The 13042-nt window shown below is 42.0% G+C and overlaps 1 pseudogene; it reads right to left on the reverse strand.

Annotated features, from left to right (window-relative positions):
- Positions 718 to 820, reverse strand: RNU6-1006P (RNA, U6 small nuclear 1006, pseudogene; annotated as a pseudogene).

The raw sequence follows: 13042 nt of genomic DNA on the forward strand, positions 1-13042 counted from the left end.
CAGAAAAAGGGGGAGATGTAGGAGATCGGTCAGGGTGGTGGGAAAAATTGTAGAAAGATGCAAACCTTCTTGAAAGGCTGGGAGGTTTTACAAAAGCTTTGGGAAAGGATTTGGCTGAAGGCAGCCAGATTCTCTAATCCAGTGCCTGAAAGCTTAGGTTAGATAACAAGGGGATGTAAAGAAACTGCTCTAGATAAGTTAGTTTACTTAGGCCTCGGAACCTGGCCTTTAATCATCTGCACACAGGACTGCTCTCTCTGAGTTGGGGGTTGGGGGGTGGGGGGATGACCCACAAGTGTGTTGACTCAGGCCTTTGTCATTGAATCTGTACTGAATAAATGCCTGCAGCACCAGTGGGTCAGGGCCACGGCTGCTGACTCTTTACAGCACCCTCCTCAGGGTCTGTAAACGGCCAGGTCTCCTAGCCCGCTCTTTCACTGGATACTTGTGTCTGAGTGTATTCTTTCATCCATCGTTCAGCCAGGGTCTGCAGGTCGGACCTGGCACTTGGCAAAGTACTTTATCTAGTGTGTCACCATATGTCACTTTTATTAATTAACTTATCAATGTCCTTTATGGCATTTCCCCATCTCCAGTACAGGTTTCAGTCTAGGGTCAGGTATGGCATTTTGTTGTCATTTCTCTTTAGCCTCCTTTAATCTGGCTTTCACGATGTTGATTCCCCCATCTGACCCCACTCCACCATTACCCACCACCAATACCCTTTTTTGTTCCTCACAAATTTGTGTCATCTTCGTGCAGGGCAATGCTAATCTTCTCTATGTCATTTCAATTTTTCACATATCTGCTGCCAAAGCAAGCACCACGCACCATTTTTGTTTGAATTGCATGTTCCTCATTGTGTGTTTGTCTCATATTTCCTCATGGTCAGATTACATAATTTCAACCTGAATACTGTCCTATCCAGGGTGTCACATCAAGAGCCACACAATGTCATCTGTACTGCAGAAATGAGGTTAATTTTGATCACCTGGTCAAAAAGTGTTACACGGTTTCTACTTGGTCTCATTACCGTTTTGGTTTTTTTCTCCCTCACAACTAATAAGAAACTAATAATATGTGGGGATCACTTTAAGATTATGCGGATACCCTAACCATGACTATTGTGAGCGTACCTTTCCCATGCCAAGCACTGTGCATTCCAGATGTGGTCTCTTCCCATCCTAGGAGGGCTCCTTCATTTCTCACGACCACAAACCCATCTTCTCTTGGCTTGAAGCACTCTCTTGGACGCACTGTATCAAGAGCAGGATCAGATCTGAGGTTGCTAATGCTGTGATTAGGAAGCTGCAGATGGAACTGGAGCAGAGAAAAAGAGAAAAAGAAGACATGTTAATGAGGGGGTCCCATCAAGAGGAGGAAACTGTCTTCAGAATCCTGGCTCAGCTCCAGGAAAGGGAGAAACAGACTCGAAGGGCTGGGAGGTCAGGGACTTAGAGTCACTGAGTCATACTAGTGAGACTTGGCCTTGTTCTGTGAAACTGAGCCCCTGGCTTCCCACACTCTGTGGGGCCAGCAGCCTGGGCACTTTTCTCTGCAGGGTTGTCAGTGGGCAGTGGTAACCCAGAACATCTGAGGAACAATACCCTTTAGAGCAAAGCCAGTGGCTGCCAAGGCTTTTAAAAAGACCAAAAAATCCAACACCCTCATGACAAAGAAAAACAGGCCCCAACTTTAATTGCTTCAGAGCCCCAGAAGGGCCATTTGAACTGCTGTCCAGACCCCAAACTGTGCACAGCCATTCCAGAACAAAGCAGATGCCAAGGGGCCTGACAGAATTGAGCTGTGCTGGAAGCACACAACCATGCAACCATTCACTGAGAAATTCTACCCAGGACCCAGGCAGCCAGGTTTTCATCCAGCTCTTCTGCAAAGGATAGCAAAGAATCAAATAAAGGAGTCTTCATTATTAAATTCTATTGTATGGACCCCAAATAGGCTTAAAAGATGTCTCTTTGATAGGCAGGTCCCTGAGGAAGAGCTACCACGGAGCATGATGAGGGGTTTCTGCCAAGTTGGGAAGGTGTCCTAGAAGGCAACAATTCTGTCCATCTGTCCATCCATCCATCCATCCACCCATCCACCTATCCGTCTGTCCATCCATCCATCCACCCGCCCACCCATCCATCTGTCCATCCGTCCGTCCATCCATCCATCCATTCGTTCTTTCATTCATTCAACCAATGAATATTTCTTTAGTAGCTACTATGTGCCTAGAGACCCAGGACACTGAGCTGGAGATGAAGTGGGAAGACAATGCCCCAATAATAAAAGAGAAAACTTCTGTCCTCATAGGGTGAATAGGGAAAATCTTTACTTTTCCTGTCATTGAGGAAATATATAGCCCTTAAGATCTTTGTAAATATAGAATCTAGACTCTTCTGAAAGAAAAAAACCTTTCTTTCCTTTCACTCTAGGAAAAGAAAAATAAAGAAACATGAGCTGACATTCATTAGAATCCACTAAAAGGTGGAATTTCACTTTGACATTGAGCTTTAGAACCAGCACACCACAGACCCCAGAGTGATTCCACACTTTTCTATGCCCTCTGTCTTGAGCTTGTAAAAATAGGTCAGGTAAGTGTGAAATGCCCAGAGGCTGTAAAAGGCTGGAAAGAAGCTCACAGGCCAGCCTACCTGGGGACAGAGGATTAGGATGTGAGTGTGTGTTCCAGGACAAGAGCACCTGTCTCCCCAGAGGGCCCCTCACAGCCTGAGGAGGGCCATTTGCCTGAGCAATGTCCCAGTGCAAGGAATGGTTGGGTGCCTCTGCAGTCTTACGCCAGGAGACTTTGGGGGAACAGGAGCAGCAGGGCTCTTCCTGAGCCAGTGTGCAGGCTTCTGGGGACAGTTGAGATTTCTGCTGTATAAGGAATTAAATGGTTGGCACCTCACTCACCCATTGAAAATGCGCCCCAAGATGATACTGAAATGTTGGGCTGGGGGTTTCTCCTGGTACAGAAAAATCCAGTGACTAGATGGTGCACTGCAGGGAGAGGCAGCAGAGGAAGAAGCCCTGTCTGGAAGCCATTTCTGCAGGATGGAAGTGTGGTGTCTCGTAGCCCGACGTCTCCTGGAGGGCAGGGACCCCACTCACAGCCAAACTTATGGACCAGAGTTCCCTCAGGGATGGGGAAGTCCTCATTCTTTTAGTAATTCTCTATAAGGAGTAAGGAAATTGTGAGGGTGCCTTCTTCTGCCCCTCCCTCCCCCTCCTCCCCTGGCTCTTCTGCCTCCTGCCACAGTCATTGGCAAGTCTTTCCCTGAGGTATTTCAAGAATTGCTAATCCAAGTGACTGGTTCCATTTCCAACCCAGCTGATACCCATGACGTTTTGGAGCGAGTGAAGCACACCTGAAGCCTAGTCCCCTTGTGAGGTTCCTACTGCCCACCAGTGTAGGACATGGCCAGGAATGACAAAACAAGCCAGCAAATCACCAAAGAGGCCAAAATCGATGTCACAAAATGTTTCACTTGTTTTATTTATTTATACCCAACCTATTTTCAGAAAAAGCCTCAGAGTAACTTTAATTTATTCACATGTAAAATCTCCATTTGGAACCCATTTACACTAACTTTACACATAATTCTAATAAGTTTTCTAAGCTCTTAAATATAAAAAGCAGCAAATAATTAAATGTGGGAGAAGCTACTACAGACAGATAAACTGATAACAGCAGGAAATGACAAGTGCCAACAAGAGGGGAGACAGAAAAACTGAAATAGTCCCCAGAACTCAAAACCAACAGCCTGGGCCCATTTAGTGTGGGGTTAAATAACCCTTAGACTCTTACACCTAATCTAGACTGGGCCACTTATTGATATTTTCAGTGATGACCCCAAGTCTCTAAGAGGAGGTAAAATTATGTTCACTTTAAGGAAGTTGAAATGTATTTGTTTAGAAAGATTTTTGTCTTAAGTCACTAAAATTTTTAAGTTTTGTGTATACATGATTGAATTTTCAAGTACTTGGAGACTTAGTCATCTAGAATGACTCACAGCATGAAGTTCAAACAAGCCTGGGTAGCAGGTTTTCAGTGTGAACACAGGTGTGTTTGGGGTTTTAATCAGTTGACTCTTGGTACAAATTATACTTCCCATCTTGAAAGGGGTAATTTGGGGCTCAACATAGACCTTCCTTGCTATTAATGCAAATAGCATTAATATGATTCACACAGCAGTGAATCAGAACCACAAGGACCAAATGTTTCACCTGGAATCTATACAGGCATATAAACAAGTGACCAAATGGATTTGGTGCCTCCCCAAATTAAAAAGAGAATTTGGAAATATAACTCAAGGTGTTTTGTCTAAATTCCAAGGCTGTCAAAATTTTTATTTTTGATTTGGTTGGTTACATCCTAAACCCCTGGAACTGGGTGGCTGTAGGGTACAGCAGCCACTAGTCTTTGGCTGCCAAGAATCTCCCTTGTTACTTGGAAGAAATCCTGGTGGAAAGATGGGCTGTACTTCTCCCTACAGAAGCCAGAGGGGCCCAAGTATCTCTCCTAGCACGGAAAGAATGCGGCCATGTGACCCAGGATTGGCCTTGGCCTTTGAATCCACAGGAAGTAGTAGTTGTTCATGACATCTATACTATTTTAATAAGATAGACTGGGAGTGTCAGAGTAGGGGGAAATGACTGCCCTTGGAAAAAAAAAAGGATCCTGCAGGACAGACTTTGATGTGTGTGTGTCGCATGTGTGTAGTATGCGGTGTGTGTGTATGTGTGCATGCATGAACGTGCTTGTGTTTGCTTGACAGAAGGATTTCTAGTGTCATACCTTGGGGTATGGGTGGTGAGACAAAGCAAATAGAGACAGTGGGACCAGAAGAGACTCTGTATCTGCCCTAATATTGATATACTATGGTAAGACAAGGGCTGGGCCCAGTGACACAAAAGGCAAACATATTTAACAATAACAATTAAGATATCTTATATTTTTAACACTTCGTATGTCCCAAGTCCTGTGCTAAGGAATTAGCATGAATTATCTCAATTAATACTCATTAACATATGTGATGTAGCCTGTTTATACCCCCATTTCACAGCATCAGTCATGACTGTTTTATTGCCTAATTCAGGGGTCATTTTTAAGTCCTCATTCTGATGTTTAACCTCTCCTTTGGATGTTTGCCTACTTTGTTTTCCAGGACACCATATTATTCTTGTTCCTGCTTTCTGGTCATTGCTCTATTTTCTCTGTGGTCTACACTCTGCTCTCATCATGTATGTGGGGTTCCATCCTAAGCCTTCACACTCTCTGTAAATGATCCCATAATTTATAGTACCACCTATACATTAATGATGCTCAAGAATAGTAAATGTCAGTTACTATTCTTGAATGGTTTCTATGTTCCAGGTTTTTTTCTAAGTAGTTTAGATGTAATAGTTCACTTGACGTTCAACATCATGAGGTAATTCCTATTATCATTCTGATTTTATAGATGAAGAAACTGAGGTACTGAGGCTCCTCATGGTCACAAGCTACCAAGTGGTGGAGACAGAATTCTAACCAGGTGGTTCATCTCAAGAGCTTGAGTAAAGGACCCAAGGTTGAGGGCCTTCTTTAAGAAAAAGAACACAAAATTACAAATGAAAATTAAGTAGAAAAGTGAATATTAAGAATGGGAATAGAAATCATAACACATTATAAATTTGAAATTGCTAATAGAGGTTTCCACTTTTGGTTAAGATGGAATAACAGACCACGTTTACATCTTACCTGAAACAGCCAAAAACAACATCCAAAAAAGTGAAAAGAATATATAATCCAGTGATTTTTCAAGACAGTGGTTATCAAGTTACAAAGGACAGTGATCACAAAGAAATAAGAAACAAATAAAATAAATCTTATAATTACTCTTACTTTATTGAGCATTTCCAGGCTGTAGAGCAAAGAAGAAAATTCCAAATGGAACCTGGTGTACTCCTTGAATTGAACAGGCTGAACTGAGAGTCTGTGAAGTCCAAAGCAGCTAGAGTTCATAGATGGACTGCTGGGGAGGAAAGAGCTCCACAGAGAAGGAATTCCAGAGATCTGCAGAGGGCTGCCCTTGTGTATTGGCAGAGTACTAATCAGTGCATGTGTATGAGAAAACTACACAGGGCCAAAGAAAGAATCACCCAAAAGGATATCTAGTGTTTGTACAGGGCCAAGAATAGTATTTCTTTCTACCAGCCATATTGGAAACCATCAGAATTCTCAAAGCATTAGGTAGAATACTCAGAAATGTATAGTCTCTGTGGTGGGAAGTAGTTAGCTCTAGAAAAAACCATGGTCTTCCCTAATGTTAAAAAAAAATCTTGAAAGATGGCTGAGTAGGAATAGCTCTGGTCTGCAGCTCCCAGCGAGACTGACGCAGAAAGTGAGTGATTTCTGCATTTCCAATTGAGGTACCTGATTCATCTCATTGGGACTGGTTGGACAGTGAGTGCAGCCCATGGAGAGCGAGCCGAAGCAGGGTGGGGCATCTCCTTACCCAGGAAACGCAAAGGGTCAGGGAATTCTCTCTCCAACCCAAAGGAAGCTGTGAGACTGTGCATGAGGAACGGTGCACTCCGGCCCAGATACTGCGCTTTTCCCAGTCTTCGCAACCCACAGACCAGGAGATTCCCTCTGGTGCCTATGCCACCAGGGCCCTGGGTATCAAGCACAAAACTGGGTGGCTGTTTGGGCAGACACCAAGCTAGCTGCAGGAGATTTTTTTTGTTTTCCCATACCCAGTGGTGCCTGGAATGCCAGCGAGACAGAACCATTCACTCCCCTGGAAAGGGGGCTGAAGCCAGGGAGCCAAGTGGTCTGGCTCGGCGAGTCCCACCCTCACGGAGCCCAGCAAGCTAAGATCCACTAGCTTGAAATTCTCGCTGCCAGCAAAGCAGTCTGAGGTTGACCTGGGATGCTTGAGCTTGGTGGGGAGACGGGCATCTGCCAATGCTGAGGCCTGAGTAGGCAGTTTTACCCTCACAGTGTAAACAAAGCCACCAGGAAGTTTGAACTGGGCGGAGCCCACCACAGCTCAGCAAGGCTGCTGTGGCCAGACTGCCTCTCTAGATTCCTCCTCTCTGGGCAGGCTATCTCTGAAAAAAAGGCAGCAGCGCCAGTCAGGGACTTAGAGATATAACCCCCATCTCCCTGAGACAGAGCACCTGGGGAAAGGGGAGGCTGTGGGTGCAGCTTCAACAGACTTAAATGTTCCTACCTGATGGCCCTGAAGAGATCAGTGGATCTCCCAGCACAGTGTTCGAGCTCTAATAAGGGTCAGACTGTCTCCTCAAGTGGGTCCCTGACCCCCGTGTATCCTGACGGGGAGACACCTCCCAGTAGGGGCTGACAAACACCTCCTACAGGAGAGCTCTGGCTGGCATCTGGCGGCTGCCCCTCTGGGACAAAGCTTCCAGAGGAAGGAATAGGCAGCAATCTTTGCTGTTCTTCAGCCTATGCTGGTGATACCCAGGCAAATAGGGTCTGGAGTGGACCTCCAACGAACTCCAGCAGACCTGCAGCAGAGGGACCTAACTGTTAGAAGGAAAACTAAAACAGAAAGGACTAGCATCAACATCAACAAAAAGGACATCCACTCAGAGACCCCATCTGAAGGTCACCAACATCAAAGACCAAAGGTAGGTAAATCCACGAAGATGGGGAGAAACCAGCAGAAAAAGGCTGAAAATTCCAAAAACCAGAATGCCTCTTCTCCTCCAAAGGATCACAACTCCTCGCCAGCAAGGAAACAAAACTGGATGGAGAATGAGTTTGATGAATTGACAGAAGTAGGCTTCAGAAGGTGGGTAATAACAAACTCCTCCGAGCTAAAGGAGCACCTTCTAACCCAATTCAAGGAAGGTAAGAGCCTTCAAAAAAGGTTAGATGAATTGCTAACTAGAATAACCAGTTTAGAGAAGAACATAAATGACCTGATGAAGCTTGAAAAACACAGCACAAGAACTTTGTGAAGGATACACAAGTATCAATAGCTGAATCGGTCAAGCAGAAGGAAGGATATCAGAGATTAAAGATCAACTTAACAAAATAAAGTGAGAAGACAAGATTAGAGAAAAAAGAATGAAAAGGAACAAACAAAACCTCCAAAAAATATGAGACTCTGTGAAAAGACCAAATCTACGTTCGATTGGTGTACCTGAAAGTGACGGGGAGAATGGAACCAAGTTGGAAAACACTCTGCAGGATATTATCCAGGAGAACTTCCCCAACCTAGCAAGATAGGCCAACATTCAAATTCAGGAAATACAGAGACCACCACAAAGATACTCCTTGAGAAGAGCAACCCCAAGACACATAATCATCAGATTCACCAAGGTTGAAGTGAAGGAGAAAATGTTAAGGGCAGCCAGAGAGAAAGGTTGGGTTACCCACAAAGGCAAGCCCATCAGACTAACAGCAGATGTCTCTGCAGAAACCCTACAAGCCAGAAGAGAGTGGGGGTCAGTATTCAACATTCTTAAAGAAAAGAATTTTCAACCCAGAATTTCATATCCAGCCAAACTAAGCTTCATAAGTGAAGGAGAAATAGAATCCTTTACAGACAAGCAAATGCTGAGAGATTTTGTCACCACCAGGCCTGCCTTACAAAAGCTCCTGAAGGAAGCACTAAACATGGAAAGGAACAACTGGTACCAACCACTGCAAAAACATGCCAAATTGTAAAGACCATCAACACTGTGAAGAAACTGCATCAACTAATGGGCAAAATAACCAGCTAGCATCATAATGACAGGATCAACTTCACACATAACAATATTAACCTTAAATGTAAATGGGCTAAATGCCCCAATAAAAAGACAAAGACTGGCAAATCAGATAAAGAGTGAAGACCCATTGGTGTGCTGTATTCAGGAGACCCATCTCACGTGCAAAGATACACATAGGCTCAAAATAAAGGGATGGAGGAAAATTTACCAAGCACATGGAAAGCCAAAAAAAAAAAAAAAAGCAGGGGTTGCAATCCTAGTTTCTGATAAAACAGACTTTAAACCAACAAAGATCAAAAGAGACAAAGAAGGCCATTACACAATGGTAAAGGGATCAATTCAACAAGAAGAGCTAACTATCAAATATATATGCACCCAATACAGGAGAACCCAGATTCATAAAGCAAGTTCTTAGAGACCTACAAAGAGACTTAGACTCCCACAAAATAATAGTGGGAGACTTTAACACCCCACTGTCAATATTAGACAGATCAACAAGACAGAAAATTAACAAGAATATTCAGGACTTGAACTCAGCTCTGGACCAAGCAGACCTAATAGACATCTACAGAACTCTCCACCCCAAATCAACAGAATATACATTCTTCCCAGCACCTCATCGCACTTATTCTAAAATTGACCACATGATTGGAAGCAAACCACTCCTCAGCAAATGCAAAAATGGAAATCATAACGAACAGTCTCTCAGACCACAGTGCAATCAAACTAGAACTCAGGATTAAGAAACTCACTCAAAACCACACAACTACATGGAAACTGAAAAAACCTGCTCCTGAATAACTACTGGGTAAATAACGAAAGAAGGCAGAAATGAAGATGTTCTTTGAAGCCAATGAGAACAAAGACACAATGTACCAGAATCTCTGGGACACATTTAAAGCAGTGGTTAGAGGGAAATTTATAGCACTAAATGCCCACAAGAGAAAGCAGGAAAGATCTAAAATTGACACCCTAACATCAAAATTAAGAGAACTAGAGAAGCAAGAGCAAACAAATTCAAAAGCTAGCAGAGGACAAGAAATAACTAAGATGAGAGCAGAACTAAAGGAGATAGAGACACGAAAAACCTTCAAAAAAAAAAAAAATCAATGAATCCAGGAGCCGGTTTTTTGAAAAGATCAACAAAATAGATAGACCACTAGCCAGACTAAGAAAGAAGAAAAGAGAGAACACTCAGATAGACATGATAAAAAATGATAAAGGGGATATCACCACTGATCCCACAGAAAAACAAACTACCATCAGAGAATACTATAAATACCTCTATGCAAATAAACTAGAAAATCTAGAAGAAATGGATAAATTCCTGGACACATACACCCACCCAAGTCTAAACCAGGAAGAAGTCAAATCCCTGAATAGATCAATAACAAGTTCTGAAATTGAGGCAGTAATTAATAGCCTACCAACCAAAAAAAAGTCCAGGACCAGACAGATTCACAGCTGAATTCTACCAGAGGTACAAAGAGGAAATGGTACCATTCCTTCTGAAACTATTCCAAACAATAGAAAAAGAGGGAATCCTCCCTACATCATTTTATGAACCCAGCATCATCCTGATACCAAAACCTGGCAGAGACACAAGAAAAAAAGAAACTTTCAGGCCAATATTCCTGAGGAACACTGATGCGAAAATCCTCAATAAAATACTGTCAAATCAAATCCAGCAGCACATCAAAAAGCTTATCCACCACAATCAAGTCAGCTTCATCTCTGGGATGCAAGGCTGGTTCAACATTTGCAAATCAAGAAACATAATCCATCACATAAACAGAACCAATGATAAAAACCACATGATTATCTCAATAGATGCAGAAAAGGCCTTTGCAAAATTCAACAGCCCTTCATGCTAAAAACTCTGAATAAACTAGGTATTGATGGAACATATCTCAAAATAATAAGAACTATTTATGACAAACCCACAGCCAATATCATACTGAATGGGCAAAAACTGGAAGCATTCCCTTTGAAAACTGGTACAAGACAAGGATGCCCTCTCTCACCACTTCTATTCAACATAGTATTGGAAATTCTGGCTAGGGCAATCAGGCAAGAGAAAGAAATAAAGGGTACTCAATTAGGAAAGGAGGAAGTCAAATTGTCTCTGCAGATGACATGATTGTATATTTAGAAAACCCCACTGTCTCAGCCCAAATTCTCCTTAAGCTGATAAGCAACTTCAGTAAAGTCTCAGGATACAAAATCAATGTGCAAAAATCACAGGCATTCCTATACACCAATAACAGACAGAGAGCCAAATCATGAGTGAACTCCCACTCACAATTGCTACAAAGAGAATAAAATACCTAGGAATACAATTTACATGGGATGTGAAGGACCTCTTCAAGGAGAACTACAAACCACTGCTCAATGAAATAAGAGAGGACACAAATAAATGGAAGAACATTCCATGCTCATGGATAGGAAGAATATCGTGAAAATGGCCATACTGCCCAAAGTAATTTATAGTTTCAATGGTATCTCCATCAAGCTACTATTGACTTTCTTCACAGAATGGAAAAAAACTACTTTAAACTTCATGTGGAACCAAAGAAAGGGCCTGTATAGCTAAGACAATCCTAAGCAAAAAGAACAAAGCTGGAGGCATCACGCTACCTGACTTCAAACTATACTACAAGGCTACAGTAACAAAAACAGCATGGTACTGGTACCAAAACAGAGATATAGACCAATGGAACAGAACAGAGGCCTCAGAAATAACACCACACATCTACAATCACTTGATCTTTGACAAATCCGACAAAAACAAGAAATGGGGAAAGGATTCACTATTTAATAAATGGTGCTGGGAAAACTGGCTAGCCATATGCAGAAAACTGAAACTGGACCCCTTCCTTACACCTTATACAAAAATTAACTCAAGATGGATTAAAGACTTAAACATAAGACCTAAAACCATAAAAATCCTAGAAGAAATCCTAGGCAATTCCATTCAGGACATAGGCATGGGAAAAGACTTCATGTCTAAAACTCCAGAAGCAATGACAACAAAAGCCAAAATTGACAAAAGGGATCTAATTAAACTAGAGCTTCTGCACAGCAAAAGAAACTATCATCAGAGTGAATAGGCAACCTACAGAATGGGAGAAAATTTTTGCAATCTAAGCATCTGACAAAGGGCTAATATCCAGAATCTACAAAGAATTAAACAAATTTACAAGAAAAAAACAAACGACCCCATTAAAAAGTGGGCAAAGGATATGAACAGACACTTCTCAAAAGAAGACATTTATGCAGCCAAAAAGCACATGAAAAAAAGCTCATCATCACTCATCATTAGAGAAATGCAGATTAAACCACAATGAGATACCATCTCACACCAGTTAGAATGGCAATCACTAAAAAGTCAGGAAACAATAGATGCTGGAGAGGATGTGGAGAAATAGAAACACTTTTACACTGTTGGTGGGAGTGTAAATTAGTTCAACCATTGTGGAAGACAGTATGATGATTCCTCAAGGATCTAGACTAGAAATACGATTTGACCCAGCAATCCCATTACTGGGTATATACCCAAAGGATTATAAATCATTCCACCATAAAGACACATGCACACATATGTTTATTGCAGCACTATTCACAATAGCAAAGAGTTGGAACCAACCCAAATGTCCATCAATGATAAACTGGATAAAGAAAATGTGGCACATATACACCATGGAATAATATGCATCCATAAAAAAGGATGAATTCATGTCCTTTACAGGGACATGGATGAAGCTGGAAACCATCATTCTCAGTAAACTAACACAAGAACAGAAAACCAAACACTGCATATTCTCACTCATAAGTGGGAGCTGAACAATGAGAACACATGGACACAGGGAGGGGAACATCGCACACTGGGGCCTGTAAGGGGGGTTTAGGGGGACAGGGGAGGGATAACATTAAGAGAAATACCTAATGTAGGTGATGGGTTGATGGGTGCAGCAAACCACCATGGCACATGTATACCTACATAACAAAACTGCATGTTCTGCACATGTACCCCAGAACTTAAAGTATAATTAAAAAAAAAAAACACACAACACACAAATCCAAAGGAGAAAAAAAATCTTAAGAACTCAAAATGACTGGCATCTAATAAATTACCAGGTATATAAAGCAGAGGGAAAATATGACTTATAATAATGAGAAAACCAATTGAAATTGACCCAGAACTCATATAGATGTTAGAATTGATAGGTAAAGACATAAAAACAGTTTTTTTAATGACTGCATTACATATGTTTATAATAGTAAATAGAGACATGAAAGATATTTTAAA

This window comes from Homo sapiens, chromosome 2, assembly GCF_000001405.40.
Source record: "Homo sapiens chromosome 2, GRCh38.p14 Primary Assembly".
Lineage (NCBI taxonomy): Eukaryota > Metazoa > Chordata > Mammalia > Primates > Hominidae > Homo > Homo sapiens.